Source organism: Homo sapiens, chromosome 2, assembly GCF_000001405.40.
Source record: "Homo sapiens chromosome 2, GRCh38.p14 Primary Assembly".
In the NCBI taxonomy this organism is placed as follows: Eukaryota; Metazoa; Chordata; class Mammalia; order Primates; family Hominidae; genus Homo; species Homo sapiens.
Window position 1 is genome coordinate 203,296,575 of NC_000002.12, and position 22,453 is coordinate 203,319,027.

Genomic DNA, 22,453 nt, shown 5'->3' on the forward strand with positions numbered 1-22,453 from the left:
AATGCCAGACTCTGTTCTTAGAATTTTGATGATCACTGTTGATGAGAATGGGCAATCTGTATGATTAAAGTATTATTTTTTTATTATTATTGTACTTTAAGTTCTGGGGTTCATGTGCAGAACGTGCAGGTTTAAAGTATAATTTTTAATCTTTAGTAACTAATTGACTTTCTTCCTGACTAGGTTTGCATATATGGTGACCACAGTACTTCTTAGTGTATTGGTGAAGAGACTGCACCTACTTTCTGTGGAGGGACAGGTTATTGAAACAAAGTATGAACTGGTAACATCATCAAGGGAAGAAGCTTGGATCACTGTCTCAAAGAGATATTAAAATTTTATACATTTAAAATCATTGTTAAATTGATTGAGGAAAACAACCATTTAAAAAAAATCTATGTTGAATCCTTTTATAAACCAGTATCACTTTGTAATATAAACACCTATTTGTACTTAATTTTGTAAATTTGGATTTTTATATATCATATTTTCTTAATTCATTGTACACATTTGACTTACTGCACAGTATATTGATCATTTTAATGGGAAACTTTAGCTTTCTACTTTTTATTTTTGTTTTTTCACTTTCTATGCCATTATTTTTGTATTCTTTTTCTTAGTGTGAGCTCTAAAATCAATGTTCTTGAAAAAGAAATTATTTTGCAGAAGTTGGGGAATCATGTTTGTTGAATATGTATAAAATAGAAACATAGGCTGGGCGCGGTGGCTCACACCTGTAATCCCTACACTTTGGGAGGCTGAGGCAGGTGGATCACCTGAGGTCCAGAGTTTGAGACCAGTCTGGCCAACATGATGAAACCCCATCTCTACTAAAAATACAAAACATTGGCCGGGAGTGGTGGCTCATGCCTGTAATCCCAGCACTTTGGGATGCTGAGGCGGGTGGATCACCTGAGGTCAGGAGTTTGCGACCAGCCTGGCCAACATGATGAAACCCTGTCTCTACTAAAAATACAAAAAAATTGGCTGGGTGTGGTGGCCCACACCTGTAATCCCAGCACTTTGGGAGGTCGAGGCGGGTGGATCACCTGAGGTCCGAAGTTCGAGGCCAGCCTGGCCAACAGGATGAAACCCTGTCTCTATTAAAAATACAGAAAATTGGCCGGGTGCGGTGGCTCACCCCTGTAATCCCAGTACTTTGGGAGGCTGAGGCGGGTGGAGCACCTGAGGTCAGGAATTCGAGATCAGCCTGGCCAACATGGTGAAACCCCATCTCTACTGAAAAACACACACAAAAAAATTAGCTGGGCATGGTGGCACATGCCTGTAATCCCAGCTACTCAGGAGGCTGAGGCAGGAGAATCATTTGAACCTGGGAGGCGGAGCTTGCAGTGAGCCGAGATTGCACCCCTGCACTCCAGCCTGGGCCACAGAGCAAGACTCTGTCTCAAGAAAAACAAAAAAAAAGATAAATGGACAAAAGACATGAACAAACAGCTTTTATAGGATAGTATGGCTAACAAACTTTTAGAAAAGTGTTTAGTCTCACTAGTAAGTAACAAAATATTGGGGCAGGGCACAGTGGCTCATGCGTATAATCCTAGAACTTTGGAAGGCCAAAGCTGGTGGATTGCTTGAGCCCAGGAGTTTGAGACCAGCCCAGGCAACATTGGGAGACCCTGCCTCTACAAATATACAAAAAAATTACTGGGCATGGTGACACACACCTGTAGTCCCAGCTGTTCTGAAGGCTGAGGTGGGAGGATCACTTGAGACCAGGAGAGGTCAAGGCTGCAGTGATCTGTGATCACACCACTGCACTCCAGCCTGGGCAACAGAGCAAAACCCTGCCTTTAAAAAAACAAAAAACAAAAAAGGCCGGGCTCGGTGGCTCATGCCTATAATACTTTGGGAGGCCGAGGCAGGTGGATCAATTGAGGTCAGGTGTTCGAGACCAGCCAGGCCAACTTGGTGAAACCCCGTCTCTACTAAAAATACAAAAAAAAAAAAAAAAAATTAGCCAGATGTGGTGGTGCACATTTGTAATCCCAGCTACTCAGGAGGCTGAGGCAGGATAATCGCTTGAACCTGGGAGGCAGAGGTTGCAGTGAGCCAAGATCGCACCACTGCACTCCAGCCTGGGTGTCGAGTGAAACTCATTCTCAAAAAAAAAAAAAAAAGGAGGTGGGGAGAGCTATTTCAAGAATATTTTAAGTAGGCTGGGCACGGTAGCTCATGCCTGTTATCCTAACACTTTGGGAAGCCGACATGGGCAGATCACGAGGTCAAGAGATTTGAGACCATCCTGGCCAACATGGTGAAACCCCATCTCTACTAAAAATACAAAAAATTATCTGGACATGCTGGCGTGCGCCTGTAGTCTCAGCTACTTGGGAGGCTGAGGCAGGAGAATCGCTTGAACCTGGGAGGCGGAGGTTGCAGTGAGCTGATGTTGTGCTAGTGCACTCCAGCCTGGGCGACAGGGCTGAGACCTTGTCTCAAAAAAAAAAGGAGTATCTTAAGTGTCTTTCAAAATTACACTTTAGCACTTATAAATTTTATATATAATACTTTACTGATAGCATTGTATATTAGTCCAACTTTTTTGGCTACACTATTTGTGAAGGATTCCTTTTTTTCTTTAAGACAGCCACTGTAGGAAATATGCCAAGTACAGATAGTGAGGAAAGAAAGGAAGAAAAATGATAATTGTCTGCAAGTGGGCTTATTTTTAACACTGCTGAATTTCATTTGTAATTTTACTTTCAAGAATATACTCTGGTAGACTGAGGCGGGAGGATCACTTGAGCCCAGGAGTTGGAGGCTTCAGTGAGCTGTGATCACACCACTGCCCTCAGCCAAACCTGAGTGATAAAGTGAGACCCTATCTCTTAAAAAAAAAAATCCCTTTGTTGTTGAGTTATTTTATGTCATTTATTGGTAAATACCTAACATTTTAGACCTAGTCATTACCAGTTAACATAGAATTTAATTGGATGCAGTCTGTATTTTTGAAAAAAAAAATTTTTTTTGGAATAACTTAAATTCTAAAACTTTGGCCGGGCGTGATGGCTCATGCCTGTAATCCCAGCACTTTGGGAGGCCGAGGCAGGCAGATCACCTGAGGTCAGGCGTTCAAGACCAGCCTGACCAACATGGAGAAACCCCGTCTCTACTAAAAATACAAAATTAGCCAGGCTTGGTGGTGCATGCCTGTAATACCAGCTACTCGGGAGGCTGAAGCAGGAGAACTGCTTGAACCTGGGAGGCAGAGGTTGCGGTGAGCCAAGATCGCGCCATTGCACTCCAGCCTGGGCAACAAGAGTGAAACTCCGTCTCAAAAAAAAAAGAAAAATTCTAAAACTTTAAGTGAAATTTATTATCCCTTCCCACTTATTTTCTGTGGTTTTGTGTGTATAGAGCATCTTCCTTTGTTACCCAAGTACCTCGAATGGGTTGGAAACTGGCGGTAGAAGGTTAGAGTAGCCAATTGATATGTAAACCAAGTGTCAGATCAGATGAGATGAAAGAGGTGGAGTTTAAAGCAAGTGAGATATGATAAACAATGATGAAAGCAAAAATAGGGCAGTTGAACCAGAGTCAGCCAGTTGGCATAACTGCCAATAAATGAGGCAGTGTAGAATAACTAATAATGATTGGAATCAAGGAAAAGAGAGCATAGAGGAATCAGCTAAATTAGTATGTTTTATCCATAGTTACATGACTAACAAATGATTAAAAAGAAGTTATTCTCTAGATAATTTTTTAAATAAAAGTACTGTTAATATATAAACTAAGTTATTCATTCACTGTTTTTCTTCACAGTAAGAATGACAAAAATCTGTGTTCTTTGTACTTATCAAGTGACTCAAATTTTGGCCACTTCACTGTCACTGATGGCTTATAGAATGATTCTAGCAGGACTCAAGTTATTGAACTATCAAATGGGTTTTTAATTGATATTGAAGTAAGTAAGTTTTGTAGCTTTTGGAGTTTTTAAAAACTACTTCAGTGATTTTGATTTATATTCTTTTTGATAGTTCAGAAGTGTATTGTTAAAAAACATAAGCATGGCCGGGCACAGTGGCTCACACCTGTAATCCCAGCTCTTTGGGAGGCCAAGGCGGGTAAATCACCTGAGGTTGGGAGTTTGAGACCAGCCTGACCAACATGGAGAAACCCTGTCTCTACCAAAAATACAAAATTAGCCGGGCATGATGGAGCATCCCTGTAATCCTAGCTACTTGAGACGCTGAGGCAGGAAAATTGCTTGAACCCGTGAGGCAGAGGTTGCGATGAGCCGAGATCGTGCCATTGCACTCCAGCCTGGGCAATAAGAGCAAAACTCCGTCTCAGAAAAAAAAAAAAAAAAAAAAAACGGCCAGGCGAGGTGGCTCACACCTGTAATCCCAGCACTTTGGGAGGCTGAGGCGGGCAGATCACCTGAAGTCAGGAGTTCAAGACCAGCCTGACCAACATGGAGAAACTTCATCTCTACTAAAAATACAAAATTAGCCGGGCGTGGTGGCACATGCCTTTAATCCCAGCTACTGGGGAGGCTGAAACAGGAGAATCGCTTGAACCCAGTAGGGGAAGGTTGTGGTGAGCCAAGATTGCACCATTGCACTCCAGCCTGGGCAAGAAGAGTGAAACTCTATCCAAAAAAAAAAAAAAACCATACGTACATAACTTTTTTTCTTTTTCTTTTCTTTCTTTCTTTTCTTTTCTTTTTTTTTTTTGAGGCACAGTCTTGCTTTGTTGACCAAGCTGGAGTGCATTGGCATGATCACAGCTTACTGTAGCCTCCACCTCCTGGGCTCCAGCGATCTCACCTCAGCCTCTAGAATAGCTGGGACTACATATGCATGCCACCATGCCCAGCTGTTTTTTTGTTTGCTTGTTTTTGGTTTTGTTTTTTTGAGACAGGGTCTCCCTGCGTCGCCCAGTCTTGTCTCAAACTCCTAGGCTCAAGCGATCCTCCCACCTGGGCCTCCCAAAGTGTTGAGATTGCAGGTGTGAGCCACGGCACCTGGTCCATAAAACATTTTTTTATGAACTAAAGAGCTCTCTCAAACTTGTGCTAACAAAATTTAAGGCAATATTAATTCTGTGCATGTGTTTGGGAAAATTAAAAAAACTTACATAGTGCTTATTTGGCCCACAAAAGTACAGTTCCATTTTTTATATAAATAGATTCTACCTAACTTATAACCCCTATGTCAAAATTTGTTTATCTTAAAATAGTTTGTATAAAAAGTCTTTACTGCTTTATTATGAAATAATAATGTTTATTGTAGAAAAATCTAGGAAAACACAAAAATGTCAAACTCAGTTAACAGTCATAGTTTCACTATTTGAAGTTAACCACTGTTAAGATTCTTTTTTTTTTTTTTTTTTTTTTGTTTTGAGACTGAGTCCCGCTGTCTATTGCCCAGGCTGGAGTGCCATGGCACCATCTCGGCTCACTGCAACCTCTGCTTCCCAGGTTCAAGTGATCCTCCCGCCTCAGCCTCCCAAGTAGCTGGGATTGCAAACATGTGCCACCACACCTGGCTAATTTTTGTGTTTTTAGTACAGATGGGGTTTCACCATGTTGGCCAGGCTGGCCTCGAACTCCTCAACCTCAAGTAGTCTGCCCACCTTGACCTCCCAAAGTGCTGGGATTACAGGCATGGGGCACCATGCCCAGCCCCACTGTTAAGATTCTAATGTAGGCCGGGCACAGTGACTCATGCCTATAACTCAAGCACTTTGGGAGTTCAAGGCGGCCAGATTGCTTGAGCTTTTAGAAGTTTGAGACCAGCCTGGGCAACGTGGCAAAAGCTTGTTTCTATAAAAAAATATAAAAACTTAGCCAGCCTTGGTGGCACCACCTGCAGTCCCAACTATTCAGGAGGCTGAGGCGAGAGGATGGCTTGAGCTCAGGAAGTCAAGGCTACAGTGAGCTGTGGTAGTGCCACTGCACTCCCTCATGGTTGACAGAGCAAGACCCTGTCTCAAAAGATTCTAATATAGATACTCTTTTTATGCATATGTAATTTATATATATTATACAAAATATTATTTGCATTTAACATATTCTGAACCAATAGTCTTTTCTACAAGCAGAACATTAGTATTCTTGTCACTCTGAATGTAGGCACAGATTTTTGTCATTCTTTATCTTTTTTGTGTGTGTGTGACAGAGTCTCACTGTCACCAGGCTGGAATGCAGTGGCGTGATCTCGGCTCACTGCAACCTCTGCCTCCCAGGTTCAAGCGATTCTCTTGCCTCAGCCTTTTGAGTAACTGGGGTTACAGGCGCGTGCCATCACACCCAGCTCATTTTTGTATTTTTAGTAGAGATGGGGTTTTACCGTGTTGGTCAGGCTGGTCCTGAACTCTTGACCTTGTGATCTGCCCAACTCAGCCTCCCAGAGTGCTGGGATTACAAGCATGAGCCACCGCGCTCGGTCCCTTTCTTTTTATTTATTTATTTATTTTGAGATGGAGTCTCGCTGTGTCACCCAGGCTGGAGTGTGGTGGCACGATCTTGGCTCACTGCAACCCCTGCCTCCCAGGTTCAAGCAATTCTCCTGCCTCAGCCTCCTGAGTAGCTGAGACTACGGGTATGTGCCACTACACTCAGCTAATTTTTGTATTTTTTTTTAGTAGAGACAGGGTTTCACCATGTTGGCCAGGCTGGTCTTGAACTCCTAACCTCAGGTGATTCACACCCCTTGGCCTCCTGAAGTGCTGGGATTACAGGCATGAGCCACTGTGCCCGGCCATTTTTTTGTGTTTTTAGTGGAGACAGGTTTTCACCATGTTGGCCAGTAGTGTATTTAGTTATTTAAGGAGGGCTCAATCAACAGGTTTAAATGGTGTGCTATTCATAATTATTGCAAAAATAGGCCGGGCCTGTAATTCCAGCACTTTGGGAGGCCAAGGCAGGTGAATCACTTGAGGCCAGGAGTTTGAGATCAGCCTGGCCAACGTGGTGAAACTCCATCTCTACTAAAAATACCAAAAGTAGCGGGCGTGGTGACAGGTGCCTCTAATCCCAGCTACTCGGGAGGCTGAGGCAGGAGAATCGCTTGAACCCAAGAGTCGGAGGTTGCAGTGAGCCGAGATCGCGCCATTGCACTCCAGTGTGGGTGACGAGCGAAAATCCGTCTCAACCAAGAAAAAAGAAAAAAAGAAAAAGAAAACTTAACTGGCCTTTGGGGCACATGCCTGTAATCCCAGCTTCTTGGGAGGCTGAGGCATGAGAAAAAAAATAAACCTGGGAGGTGGAGGTTGCAGTGAGTTGAGATTGTGCCACTGCACTCCAGCTTAGGCAATAAAACAAGACTGTCTCAAAAAAAAAAAAAAAAAAAACTTATTGAGAGAATAATATACCACTAATATTTAAAGAAATTTTTGGCTGGTGCCGTGGCTCACACCTGTAATCCCAGCACTTTGGGAGTCCAAAGTGGGCGTATAACTTGAGGTCAGGAGTTCAAGAACAGCCTGGCCAACATGGGGAAACCGCATCTCTACTAAAAATACAAAAATTAGTGGGTGTGGAGGCGGGCGAATGTAATCCCAGCTAGTTGAGAGGCTGAGGCAGGAGAATGTCTGGGAGGTGGAGGTTGCAGTGTGCCGAGATCGCACCACTGTACTCCAGCCTAGGTGACAGAGTGAGACTCCATAGGTCTCAGCCAGACTCTGGAGGTCTCAGCCCAGGCTTGAGTGCAGTGGCATGATCTGGGCTCACTACAACCTCCATCTCCCCAGTTCAAGCGATTCTCCTGCCTCAGCCTCCCGAGTAGCTGCGACTACAGGCGAGTGCCTCCATGCCCAGCTAATTTTTTGTATTTTTAGTAGAGACGGGGTTTCACCATGTTAGCCAGGATGGTCTTGATCTCCTGACCTTGTGATCTGTCCACCGCGGCTTCCCAAAGTGCTGGGATTACAGGTGTGAGCCACAGCGCCCGGCCAAAAAAAGGAATTTTTAAGAGGAAAAAGAATGCTACCAACCTAAACACATTTCTGTGACTGTTTATATTTTTCCCTGTTCCACATACATACATTTTTACATAGTACGTTCATTGCAGCATGAGTTACTTTTCACTTAATAAATTTTAAACATTTTCCAGCTGGGTGTGGTGGCTCATGCCTGTAATCCCAACACTTGGAGAGGCCAAGTCAGGCTTATTGGGTGAGTCCAGGTGTTTGAGACTAGCCTAGGCAACATGGCGAAACTGCATCTCTACAAAAAATACAAAAATTAGCCAGGTGTGCTGGCGCACACCTGTAGTCCCAACTACTCAGGAGGCTGAGGTGGGAGGATTGCTTGAGCCCAGGAGGTAGAGGTTGCAGTGAGCCATGATCATGCCACTGCACTCCAGCCTAGGTGACAAAGCACAACCCTCAAATAAATAAATAAATACATGTTAAACATATACCTTTATTACTTCATTTTTGTAAGAGCTTCAGGGAATAGGCTTTTTTAAAGGGAATAGACTTATAGATCAATTTTAATATTTGACTTATAGAATTTTATGACACTAAATGGATAATTGTAAAGTTTGAGTTGGGACCCATTTTTTAAGACATTCAGGCTATAAACAAGGTAATAAATCACACTCTTCCAGTTCTACTCCCAATTTAATTGGTTTACAGTTCGGTGGCTGTCTTTTTTTTTTTTTTTTTTTTTTTTTGAGACCGAGTCTCCCTCTGTCACCAGGCTGGAGTGCAGTGGTGCAATCTCAGCTCACTGCAACCTCCCCCTCTCAGGTTCAAGTAATTCTCCTGCCTCAGCCTGCCGAGTAGCTGGGACTACAGTCGCACGCCAACCACCCCCAGCTAATTTTTTTATTTTTAGTAGAGACAGGATTTCACCATGTTTGCCAGGATGGTCTCGATCTCTTGTGCTCATAATCTACCTACCTCGGCCTCCCAAAGTGCTCGGATTACAGACGTGAGCCACTGCGCCCGGCCCGTTGGCTTGCTTTCTAGATACTGGGAATAGATCTTGTTATAGTATGTGATAAATAGATCTTGTTATAGTATGTGATAAAATGCCATGATCAAATAAATTACTTATATCCTGTTTGGTGATTTTTAGAAAAACATATTTATCTACATCTAAAATACTTATTTTAATTTTAAACACTTGATGGTATGAAATGAAATTTTGTTACTTTACCATTGTAACTATGTCATAAAGTCATAAAGTACCTGTCCCCAAAAAGGCAACCAGTAAATATTTTTGAGTAAATGAATGAAATCTTTATTGCCGGTGTTCTGTGCACATAGAATAAAGGAAATTATTAATGTTACTTAATAGTTTAAAAAAATTCAGAAGCCAAGCTATCCATAAAGCTACTTTGTGATGTGCTGAATACTCCATTAATAGAAGTGTTTAAGAGGATGTTGTATGCCTGCCTTCCACTCATGCCTGTGTTAGATGTGAACATAGATTTATAATATAGTACTATACAAAATACAACTAAAATAGTTGGTAACCAAGTAGTCATTTGTTCCTTCTATATCTTTTTTCTCTTTTTCTTTTTTTTTTGAGATGGAGTTTTGCTCTTGCCGCCAAGGCTGGAGTGCAATGGTGCAATCTCAGCTCACTGCAACTTCCGCCTCCCGGGTTCAAGCAATTCTCCTGCTTCAGCCTCCTGAGTAACTGGAATTACAGGCACGCACCACCATGCCCGGCTAAATTTTTTTGTTTGTTTGTTTGTTTTTTGTATTTTTAGTACAGACGGGGTTTCTCCATGTTGGCCAGGCTGGTCTCAAACTCCCAACCTCAGGTGATCTGCCCTCCTCAGCCTCCCAAAGTGCTGGGATTACAGGCGTGAGCCACTGCGCCCGACCCCATCCTGTTCCTTCTATATCTTATTACTAGATGATCATTGAACCAAGAAATGTTTAAAGATAAGGGTTTTTTACAAGGTTAGTGAGAGCATTATTTCCCACAATGTCTCATGAAACACCATCCTGTAAGATACTATGAGAAGTTTCCTTGATATTCATTCTCAGATTCTCCATACTATATTCTTTCTCAGATATTTATAATATATATATTAATATTGGAAGAGCTGAAAAGTCCTACTGTAAAGGAACCTACTTTAGGCCAGGCATGGTGGCTCACGCCTGTAATCCCAGTACTTTGGGAGGCCGAGGTGGGTGGATCACGAGGTCAAGAGATTGAGACGATCCTGGCTAACACGGTGAAACCCCGTCTCTACTAAAAATACAAAAAATTAGCCAGGCGTGGTGGCGGGCGCCTGTAGTCCCAGCTACTTGGGAGGCTGAGGCGGGAGAATGGTGTGAACCCGGGAGGCAGAGCTTGCAGTGAGCCGAGATTGTGCCACTGCACTCCAGCCTGGGTGAAAATGCGAGACTCTGTCTTAAAAAAAAAAAAAAAAAAGAAAGAAAACTACTTTAACTTGGTTAAACTCTGAATGTTCCAAATGTATTTGATGAAGGTACTCTTTTTTTCCAATAACATCTATGAAACCAGTTCCTGTAAAATCCAGATTTCATAGAAGTAGTCTCTTATAAAACAGAACTCATTTTGCCTGACATGATCTAGAGACAAATTCCTTAAACTATATATGGTCCAGAGATTCTCTAGTCTAAGAATGACCATAGCCTTAAAAGTGAACCACCTGAATACCATATTCTCTCCCTTACCTCCACCTCTCTTCTGCCAGAGCCCAGTGTGTCCTCTAGCTCCACTGACTCCTATCCCTGTCCTGATTTTTCCATTCCCACCCAAAGATATGGAACCCATTTGTCATACAACAGTTGCTTATTGACCATGTGTGCCAGATCTTATGCTACACACTGGGGATATAGCAGTAAACAAAACATACATGGCATTATTACTGTGTTCTCTGTCTTTTCCTGTGTTTCACCCCAGGAGGGAGAACCCCACAGTCTCATGTCCTAGAGCTTTACCACCTTGAATCTTCTAGCACCCAGAGCTCTCCAGGTACTGGGTTGGGAAGCAGCTTGATATGGTTTGGCTCTGTCACCCCCCAAATCTCATCTTGTAGCTCCCATAATTCCCAGGTGTTGTGGGAGGGACCCAGTGGGAGATGATTGAATCATGGGGGCGGGTCTTTCCTGTGCTGTTCTCCTGATAGTGAATGGGTCTCATGAGATCTGATGGTTTTTAAACCGGGAGTTTCCCTGCACAAGCTCTCTCTTTGCCTGCTTCCAACCACGTAAGATGTAACTTACTCCTCCTTGCCTTCCACCATGATTTTAAGGCCTCCCCAGCCACATGGAATTGTAAGTCCAATGAGCCTCTTTATTTTGTAAATTGCCCAGTCTCAGGTATGTCTTTATCAGCAGTGTGAAAACAAACTGATACAGTAAATTGGTACCAGTAGAGTGGGGCACTGCTGAAAAGATACCCAAAAATGTGGAAGCAACTTTGGAACTGGGTAACAGGCAGAGGTTGGAACAGTTTGGAGGGCTCAGAAGAAGATAGGAAAATGTAGGAAAGTTTGGAACTCCCTAGATACTTGTTAAATGGCTTTGACCAAAATGCTGATGATGATATGGACAATGAAATCCAGTCTGAGATGGTCTCAGATGGAGATGAGGAACTTGTTGGGAACTGGAGCAAAGGTGACTCTTGCTATGTCTTAGCAAAGAGACTGGTGGTGTTTGCCCCTGCCCTAGAGATTTGTGGAACTTTGAACTTGAGAGAGATGATTTAGGGTATCTGGTGGAAGAAGTTTTTAAGCAGCAAAGCATTTAAGAGTTGACTTGGGTGCTGTTAAAGGCATTCAGTTTTACAAGGGAAGCAGAGCTTTGGAAAATTTGCCCCTGACAATGCGATAGAAAAGAAAATCCCATTTTCTGAGGAGAAATTCAAGCTGGCTGCAGAAATTTGCATAAGCAATGAGGAGCCAAATGTTAATCCCCAAGACAGTGGAGAAAATGTCTCCAGGGCATGTCAGAGGTCTTCACAGCAGCCCCTCCCATCACAGGCCCGGAAGCCTAGGAGGAAAAAGTGGTTTTGTGGACTGGGCCCAGGGTCCCTGTGCTGTGTACAGCCTAGGGACTTGGTGTCCTGTGTCCCAGCCACTCCAGCCATGGGTGAAAGGGACCAACATAGAGCTCAGACTGTGGCTTCAGAGAGTCCAAGCCCCAAGTCTTGGCAGCTTCCACATGGTGTTGAGCCTGCAAGTGCACATAAGTCAAGAATTGGAGTTTGAGAACCTCCGCCTAGATTTCAGAGGATGTATGGAAATGCCTGGATGTCCAGGAAGAAGGTCGCTACAGGGGCAGGGCACTCATGGAGAACCTCTGCTAGGACAGCGCAGAAGGGAAATGTGGGGTCAGAGCCCCCACACAGAGTCCTCATTGGGGCACTGCCTAGTGGAGGTATGAGAAGAGGGCCATCATACTCGAGACCCCAGCATGGTAGATCCACCCACAGCTTGCACTGTGCACCTGGAAAAGCCACAGACACTCAATGCCAGCCCATGAAAGCCGCTGAGAGGGAGGCTGTACCCTACAAAGCCACAGGGACAGAGTCGCCCAAGGCCATGTGAACCCACTTTCTGCATCAGCATGACTCGGATGTGAGACATGGAGTCAAAGGAGATAATTTTGGAGCTTTAAGATTTGACTGCCCCACTGGATTTCGGACTTGCTTCTGGCCTGTAGCCCCTTTGTTTTGGCCAATTTCTCACATGTGGAATGGCTGTATTTACTCAATGCCTGTATCCCCATTGTATCTAGGAAGAAACTAACTTGCTTTTGATTTTACAGGCTCATAAGCAGAGGTACTTGCCTTGTCTCAGTTGAGACTTTGGACTGTGGACTTTTGAGTTAATGCTGAAATGAGTTAAGACTTTGGGAGGACTGTTGGGAAGGCATAATTGGTTTTGAAATATGAGGACATAAGATTTGGGAGAGGCCAACAGTGGAATGATATGGTTTGGCTGTTTCCCCACCCAAATCTCATCTCGAATTCCCACATGTTGTGGGAGGGACTGGGTGGTGGGAGTTAATTGAATCATGGGAGTAGGTCTTTCCCATTCTGTTCTTGTGATAGTGAATAAGTCTCATGAGATCTGATGGGTTTTAAAAAATGGGAGTTTCCCTGAACAAGCTCTCTTCTCTTGTCTGCCAACATGTGAGATGTGCCTTTCACCTTCTGCCATGATTGTGAGGCCTCCCCAGCCATGTGGAACTGTAAGTCCATTAAACCTCTTTCTTTTGTAAATTGCCCAGTCTCAGGTATCTCTTTATAAGCAGTGTGAAAACGAACTAATACATAGCTCAAGGACATTTTAGGTTAGTGGCTGAGAGGAACATAGGAAGGAACTTGGAGATAACTACATGACGAAGGTCACAACAGGCTTCTGTCATAGGCTATAATTGGGGAAGAAGCACAAGGAACTGCTGGAAGTGAAACCATCACTGTACTGTCTTTCTCCTTTCTTTTTTTTCCAGTCTTTCTTTTCCCTCCCTCCCTCCCTCCCTCCTTTCCTTCTTTCCTTCCTTCCTTCTCTTCTTTCTATGACAGGGTCTCACTCTGTTGCCCAGGTTGGAGTGCAGTGGTGCCATCTCAGCTCACTGCACCCTCTGCCTCCCAGGCTCAAACAATCCTCCTACCTCAGCTTCCTGTGTAATTCAGACTACAGATATGCATCTCCACACTTGGCTAACTTTTTAATTTTTTTGTAGAGATGGGGTCTCACTCTGTTGCCAGGGCTGCTCTCAAACTCCTGGACTCAAGTGATCCTTACACCTTGGTCTCCCAAAGTGCTGGGATTACAGGCATGGACCTGTCACTTTTCTTTTCTTTTCTCTTCTTTTCTTTTTTGAGATGGAGTCTCACTCTGTCGCCAGGCTGGAGTGCAGTGGCATAATCTTGGTTCACTGCAAGCTCCAGCTTCTGGGTTCAAGCAATTCTCCTGCCTCAGGCTCCTGAGTAGCTGGGACTACAGGTGAGTGCCACCACCCCCAGGTAATTTTTGTATTTTTGTAGAGATTGGGTTTCGCCATGTTGGCCAGGATGGTCTCCATCTCTTGACCTTGTGATCCACCCACCTTGGCCTCCCAAAGTTCTGGGATTACAGGCATGAGCCACCACGGCTGGTCTCATCACTTTATTTTCAATGTATGAGCAAGATGATTAAACTAGGTATCTGATCAAGGAATGCTTTCAACATTGATGCTGATTAGGAATACTGGAGAACTTTCAAAGTAAGAAGAAACAAAGCTAGGAATTGGTTTGGCTAAGTTACCGGGCAGTATTTATTGTAGTGGTCTGTATTAATTGTTGCTTACTTACACTGCAGCACTAGGTGTGTTGAGTTTCCATAATTTGTTGCATATATTGCAAGGTCATCAACTAATAGCTAATTGATTTTTAGAGCATGAAAGGACCTTGTAGAGATTATATGGGCATAGCCTGCTCACAATTTAACATTTTAAAGGGAGAAGCCTAGGGATTCTGGGGGTAGAAAAGTAACGTTTTTACCCTTTCACTTTGGATTTTTCTCATATAGGGCCTTCTGCAAATATGTGCTTAAGTCTATGATGCTATTATATTCATAGGATTTTTTAAGCTTTCAAGGAAGCGTAGATTCAGAAGAAATTTGAAAACAATTTTAAAAAATATTCTTGATACAGAACCTTTGAGGGAGATGCAAATGTTCTGAATGCCAAATTTACTTAGATTTAAAAATACATATCTTCAAGCAAAGTTGCCATGACAACCTTTCTTAATGTGTGTATAAATTTTATCTCTGTCTCTTTGAGGTTTTTATATTTTCCAGTACAGGGTCTAATTACAAGAATTGAGCTCTGTGGTATATTTCTATCTGGATGGTGCCCTGTAGAAATTATGTAATATTAGAAAATGCAAATCAAGCAATAGGGCAGTCCTATAGCACAGTGATGCCACAAAGATAAATGTCATCTTGTTCTCTCTGTGATCAGAGGTTTTTCTGGTTTCAAACCCAAGATGAAATTTGGGATTGAAGTAGAACTGTGAATCTGTTCTGTTTCTCTTTTTTCATATCTAGAAGATTCACAGGGTGATCTTAGGAAGTTTGGTACATTCTGGACCAACTCTCTTGGTTAGCCCTAAAACTGATCCAGCTACCTTGGGCTCTTCTCAATCTAATCAGTAGCTGATACCATAGGATGTCTCAGAACCACAAGACCCTTCTCTGCAATGGCATGCATGTGCACAGAGATCATCCAGAAGCAGCTTCCGGCCTAAGCCCCAATCCAGCAAACACTCCGGGTATACCTCTTCACTTCCTTTTACACAATTTCCATGCCCAGCCTTCAAACAAAACACTTGAAAGATGTCCCACAGTCCATGTTATGATGTTTATAAAGGTTTTTGAGTTCATTTTTATTGTAAGAGGCACAATCACTACTGGCTATATAATTTGTGAGACCTAGTCGAGGAGGAAATCTCCTCTTCTCATGGCCCTGCCTTTTCAACCTTTGGTGTATGCAACCCCAAGGAACTGAAATCTCCTGCACTGGGACACTTTACTGACTGGGGTGGTCTAAAGAGCCCTGCCAGTCACATGGTGAACATGCTGTGGTGCTGCCAGCCCAAAGCAGATGTTTCCTTGCCTTTCCTGAAAATTCTCCAAAACAGACTGCTTGTGGGCCCCCTCCAAACTTCACCCAGATCCCCACCGGAGGCTGAGGGTGACCACAGGGAAAAGTGAGCCTCCCCTCCACTCTCCTGCCAATGTAATCCAATGACTGCTCAGAGCAGAAGGCAATAGTGGTTGTAGTAGTGAGCAGAGCTGGGGAGAGGAAGGCTGGGTGGGGATCAGGGCACCAAGGAGCAGGCAGCTAGTCACTGAGAACCTGTAGGGGAAGGCATGCAGGTGGGCTCCGAGTCCCTGGTGCATGCTCCATGGTCCCATTGGACTTCACTTACAAAACACAAATTCAAAAATGAAATTATTAAGAATTTAAAGCCGGCCGGGTGTGGTGGCTCATGCCTGTAATCCTAGCACTTTGGGAGGCTGAGGTGAGCAGATCATGAGGTCAGGAGTTCAAGACCAGCCTGGCCAACATGGTGAAACCCCGTCTCTACTAAAAATAAAAAAATTAACTAGGCGTGGTGGTGCATGCCTATAATCCCAGCTACTTGGGAGGCTGAGGCAAGAGAATTGCTTGAACCCGGGAGGCGGAGCTTGCAGTGAGCTGAGATCAGCCACTGCACTCCAGCCTGGGCGACAGAGCAAGACTCTGTCCAAAAAAAAAAAAAAAAAAATTTAAAGACAGTGCCCCCAAAGCATTAAACCCCAAGCACAGTGTCCCTCTGAGAAGTGGAATTTGAGCAACTATGTTGATTGGAGTATAATTGGCCCCCGGACATGTCTGACTTTAGAGGGCATGGTACTTGTGACTCGGTGGTTTCTGAGGGCTATCCTTCTTGGTTGTATGCTAGTTGTTCTTGCAAATATCCATAAATGTCTCATTCACGATTTTTCTTTTAAGTGGTTTAAATCTCTCTAGAATGTCTTACAATTCTTTACAAAATAGGCAATGAATAGATGCCAATCTTTTTGTAAAAAAAGAAAAAAACAATTTCATAATACACATTTATTAAACTTGCAAAAGTATATATATATATATATATATATATATATATATATATATTTTGAAACATGGTCTCTCACTCTGTCGCCTAGGCTGGAGTGCAGTAGCATGATCATTGCTCACTGCAGCCTCAACCTCCAGGGCTCAAGTGATCCTCCCACCTCAGCCTCCTGAGTAGCTGGGACTACAGGCTCAAGCCACCATGCCTGGCTAGTTTTTGTATTTTTTGTAGAGACAGTGTTTCACCATGTTGTCCAGGCTGGTCTGGAACTCCTGGATTCAAGCTATCCCCCCGCCTTGGCCTCCCAAAGTGCTGGGATTACAGGTGTGAGCCACCACACCCTGACAAAAGAATTCTAATACACTAAAAATCTCTTTTCTTAAACCATTTCACTCATGAAACTCTTACTTTCCTGTATATTAACCATAATTGCCAGAAAATTTTCTGCTGGAAGTTAAAATGATGTTTTCCCCTGAAATATCATTATAAAACCCTATGAAATATTTCAGTGATATGAATCATTCACTTAGTCATATGGGTAGACATTTAGATAATAGAAGTAGTTAACAGAAATCTGTGAGAAATATATATTGTTAATTCCTGTGGAGGAGGAAGGAAGAAATCCTACTGAAATATTTTAATTGTAGTTAAATTCAGTGTTCCCTGCCATTTTAAAATATCAAGATTATTCTGTTCTACTCCTTTCCTTCCAAGAGGATACATGAAATAACTTTGATAAAATCATGAATCAGTTTTTGTTTGCTGTTAACCTCTTCTGTATTCTATTTCATGAAAATAGCAATTGGTGGCCAAGAATACCCTTATTCTTATCAACCTTGCACTACATAAATGAGACATTATTACCAAGCATCATAGTATTCAGTTAGCAATTTTGTCAAAGTATAATCTCTTTGTTTGCAATATTATTGCAATGGACAAGAAACAAATTGTTTTTTAAAAAATTAGCAAGGTTTGAAAATTATAAATTTGATAGGTCAGTTAATATTTAGCATCAGGTTCTAATGGTATTAATGTGTAATCAGAAAAACTATTACATTTCAAACTCTGTAATTCATATTATTAAATGAAGGTTAGTATACTTTTCAGTAATAAAAACCCAGTTAATACATTTTGAAGCTTGAAGTTTAAGAAAATCTTCAACATAATTTAAAACAAAAATATGAATAGGCTAGACACAGTGGCTCGTGCCTGCAGACCCAGCTACTTGGGAGGCTAGGGCAGGAGAATGAGGTGGGTGGATCACCCAGGAGCTTGAGGCTGCAGTGAGCTAAAATGGCACCACTACACTCTAGCCTGGGAGACAGAGCAAGACCCTGTCTCTAAAAAAATAAATAAATACAAATTTAAATATAAATAAACTATTTTTGAAAGATACATTTTCTATCCTATTCTTTTTTCTTTTCTTTTCTTTCTTTTTTTTCACTTTAACAAATCTACTTTAATTCCAAAAGAAATTAATCTAGGATGGTCAGTAATATACAACATACTTTTATGTTTCTTTTATAGGTATCTAATACAAGCTTATTTGTATATGTGCAATGTATAATAACTCTATCTTAGATATGAGTCCTAACAGGATAAAAATATTTTCTTGCAACTACTACTTTATGCCTATGAAGGGTGTGAGCTTGCAATGTCCTCCTGTCTTAAACCCAAGTTAATGACAGTGTCCTCTCAAAACTTTTCATAAATTATTAATGACCTAATTTCATTTAAAAAATAGTTTCAGCAGGCTGAGCACGATGGCTCACGCCTGTAATCCCAGCACTTTGGGAGGCTGAGGCAGGCGGATCACGAGGTCAGGAGAGCAAGACCATCCTGGCTAACACAGTGAAACCCTGTCTCTACTAAAAATACAAAAATAAAATTAGCTGGGTGTGGTTGTGGGCACCTGTACTCCCAGCTACTTGGGAGGCTGAGGCGGGAGAATGGCGTGAACCCAGGGGGCAAAGGTTGCAGTGAGCTGAGATCGCACCACTGCACTCCAGCCTGGGCGACAGAGCAAGACTCTGTCTCAAAAATAAAAATAAAAAAAGGTTTCAGCAAATATGAAAATAGAAAGTCCTGTTATTTGTCCACTCATAATATGAGAAAAAAAAGAGATGATACATTCCTCCATAGAAAAAGTGGGTTTAGAGAACAGTTCTGGTAGTATTTCACATGGTGAAGTATCAAAAGGTCTAATAAGTAGCCCCCTTGCTCAGGGAAAAAAAAGTGATGTTAATGTGTTTCTCTTCCAAATTGCTTAGTAACTCCAAGTGATTTTCAAATTGGGGGGCAGATTACTGGCACTGAGTTCATCAAATTTAGATCTATCTTGAATAGGGACATTATAGAAAATCAAGAACATCTCTAACCCTGCATATCTGGTGGAGTCTGGAGTTAGGGACTACATGACCCAAGCCATCAGCTAAATGTGCCAAGAGATTGAACCGTAGATGACCATCTTCCAGGGAGATGTCTTGCCAATTACTAGAAAGAGATGAACCAAAAACTTCTTTAACATAAGATTCCAAACAACTCTGGAGATCTTCAGGTTGTGTGTATGCTCGGCTTTGTGAGGGTAGACACACTGAGGATAGATTCCTTTTTCACCTCTTGTACTGTCTCAGCAACCACTGGCTCTTTCTATTTTCTGGATCGAGACCAAAATTCTGTATGTGGTGCCCCTGAGACTGTCCACATGAAGACTTTTCTGGTAATGCCGGACACAGATTGCGCTGCCATCTTCGATGAGATCCACGGGCCTCTCGTTTTCTTTTTCTTTTTTTGAGATGGGGTCTTTTTCTGCCGCCCAGAGGTGGGATCATGGCTCACTGCAGTGCCTCAACTCCCTGGGTTCAAGTGATCCTCCTGCTTCAGCCTCCCCAGTAACAGAGACAACAGGCACATGCCACCAAGCCTGCCTAATTTTTTTATTTTTTGTAGAGACTGGGGTCTCACTCTATTACCCAGGCTGGTCTCAAACTCCTGGACTCAAGTGATCCTCCCCAGTCTGTCTCCCAAAGTGTTAGGGTTACAGGCCTGAGCTACCGCACCCAGCTAGCTACCCCATTCTTTTTTTTGAGATGGAGTCTTCCTCTGTCACCCAGATTGGAGTGTGGTGGCGCAATCTCGGCTCACCACAACCTCCACTTCCCGGGTTCAAGCAATTCTCTTGCCTCAGCCTCCTGAGAAGGTGGGATTACAAGCGTGAGCCACCACACCCAGCTAATTTTCTTTCTTTCTTTTCTTTTTTTTTTAATGTATTTTCAGTGGAGACAAGGTTTCACCATGTTGGTTAGGCTGGTCTCGAATCCTGACCTGAAGTGATCCACCCGCCTCTGCCTCCCAAAGTGCTGGGATTACAGGCGTGAGACACAGCACCCAGCCTACCCCATTGCTATACATAGAACTACATTATGGTGCATAATTTAAAATTTACACTGTCCACTCTCTTATGGTTTCATGTTTAAAAAATTTTAGTCTCTTTATCGTTTACAAAGAAGGGAGCTCTTTATTTTGGCATTGCTGATAAGGAAACCACTATAGATTACAAAATATTACAATATAATCCCTTCAGGTTGTGTTCTGGGTATACAGTGTGTCTTCTCTCTCTTTTTTTTTTTTTGAGACAGAGTCTCGCTTTGTCGCCCAGGCTGGAGAACAGTGGCACGATCTCAGTTCACTGCAAGCTCTGCCTCCCAGGTTCACGCCATTCTCCTGCCTCAGCCTCCCGAGTAGCTGAGACTACAGGTGCACACCACCACGCCCAGCTAATTTTTTTGTATTTTTAGTAGAGACAGGGTTTCACTATGTTAGCTAGGATGGTCTCGATCTCCTGACCTCATGATCTGCGTGCCTCAGCCTCCCAAAGTGCTGGGATTATAGGCGTGAACCACCGCGCCAGGCCTTTTTTGTTTTTTGTTTTTTGTTTTGAGACAAGGTCTTGCTGTGTTGCCAGGCTGGAGAGCAGTGGCTCCATCAGGATCATGGCTCACTGCAGCCTCAATTTATCCAGCTCAAGTGATCCTCCCGCCTCAGCCTCCCGAGTTGCTGAGACTACAGATCCAAGCCACCAATGCCTGGCTAATTTTTGTATTTTTTGTACAGAAAGGGTTTTGCCATGTTGTCCAGGCTGGTCTTAAAAACTCCTGAGATCAATGGATCTGTCCCCCTCGTGAGCCACCGTGCCTGTACTCTCTTCTTTATAAGAGTAATTTTCGGCCGGGTGTGGTAGCTCACGCTTATAATTCCAACACTTTGGGAGGACGAGGTGGGCTGGTCACTTGAGGTCAGGAGTTCGAGACCAACCTGCGCAACATAGACTCCATCTCTACCAAAAGAAAAAATACAAAAATTAGCCAGGGATGATGGCATGCACCGTGTAATCCCTGTAATCAGGAGGCTGAGGAGGGAGAATAGCTTGAGCCCAGGAAGTGGAGGTTGCAGTTACACCCTTATGAGAGACTTGGAGCCACACCACCCAGAGGAGCTGCTCCCAGATTCCTGATTCTCAGAAACTGTGTGAGATAACAATTGTTATCTTTTTCCAAAAAGAGTAGTTTCTTCTTGAAAAATGTCTTCTATTGTGGTAGTGGATAATATGAGGGAATTATAGTTGGTTTTGTTGGATATAAAAATGATATTGTGGCCAGGCACGGTGGCTCACGCCTGTGATCGCAACACTCTGGGAATCAGAGGCGGGCGGATCATCTGAGGTCAGAAGTTTGAGACCAGCCTGGCCAACATGGCGAAACCCCATCTCTACTAAAAATATAAAAATTAGCTGGGCATGGTAGTGTGTGCCTGTAATCCCAGCTACTCGGGAGGCTGAGGCAGGAGAATCGCTTGAACCCAGGAGGCAGAGGTTGCAGTGAGCCAAGATCACGCCACTGCACTCCAGCCTGAGCTACAAAGCAAGACTCCATCTCAAAAAAAAAAAAAAGATATTGTGATTACGTAGCAAAATATCCTTGTTTTTTAGAGATATGTACTAAAGGATGTAGTGGTTAAATGTCCTGATTACTGTAATTATCTTTAAAATTCTTTAGCATAAGAATAAGATGAGAAGGTAAGGTAAAAATGGAAGACATTGTCACATGTCACAAATTAATGTTTATTCATTATATCATTCTCCATACTTGTATGTTTGTACTTTCATAATAAAGAGAAAAGGCCGGGTGTGGTGGCTCACACCTGTAATCCCGGCCCTTTGGGAGGCCAAGGTGGGAGGATCACTTGAGCTCAGGAGTTTGAGAATCCTGGGCAACATAGCGAGAGTCTGTCTCTGCAAAAATACAGATGCGCGCCTGTAGTGCCAGCTACTTAGGAGGCTTAGATTGGAGGATCACTTGAGGCCGAAAGGTCAAGGCTGCACTGAGCCAAGATCAGGCCGCTGTCCTCCAGCCTGGGTGACAAAGTGAGACCTTGACTCATAAAACAAAAATATCGTGGCTGGGCACGGTGGCTTATGCCTGTAATCCCAGGACTTTGGGAGGCTGAGGTGGGCAGATCACCTGGGTTCAGGAGTTTGAGACGAGCCTGGCCATAATGGTGAAACCCCATCTGTACTAAAAATACAAAAATTAGCCAGGTGTGGTGGTGCACACCCGTAATCCTGGCTACTAGGGGAGGCTGAGGCATGAGAATCACTTGAATCTGGGAAGTGAAGGTTGCAGTGCGCCAAGATCGTGGCTCCAGCCTGGGCAACAGGGTGAGACTCTGTCTCAAAAAAAAAAAAAAAAAAAAAGAAACCCTTCCTGCAAAAACAAATTGAATTCACACAGCTATAAAGCATGGAATCCTGTATTGCACAGCTGTATTGCAGAGTAAGGATTTTTTTTTTTAAGTAATTTGGTCTTTTTTTTTTTTTTTTAAGAGACAGGATCTCACTGTTGCCCA

General features: G+C 43.1%; 1 protein-coding gene and 1 pseudogene across 18 annotated transcripts in view; one reads left to right on the forward strand and one right to left on the reverse strand.

Moving 5' to 3' along the window:
- CYP20A1 (cytochrome P450 family 20 subfamily A member 1) overlaps positions 1 to 9,452 on the forward strand; it is a 67,009-nt gene extending 57,557 nt beyond the window's left edge. For all 18 annotated transcript variants that reach the window (NR_163985.1, NR_163981.1, NR_163982.1 and 15 more), the window contains one exon: positions 184 to 9,452. Coding sequence is in view for 13 of the 18 variants with exons in the window: in NM_001371695.1 (NP_001358624.1) it covers positions 184 to 334 (151 nt within the window). In the remaining 5 variants the exon portion in view is untranslated. The remainder of the gene's footprint in view (positions 1 to 183) is intronic.
- Positions 18,616 to 19,319, reverse strand: MRPL50P2 (mitochondrial ribosomal protein L50 pseudogene 2; annotated as a pseudogene).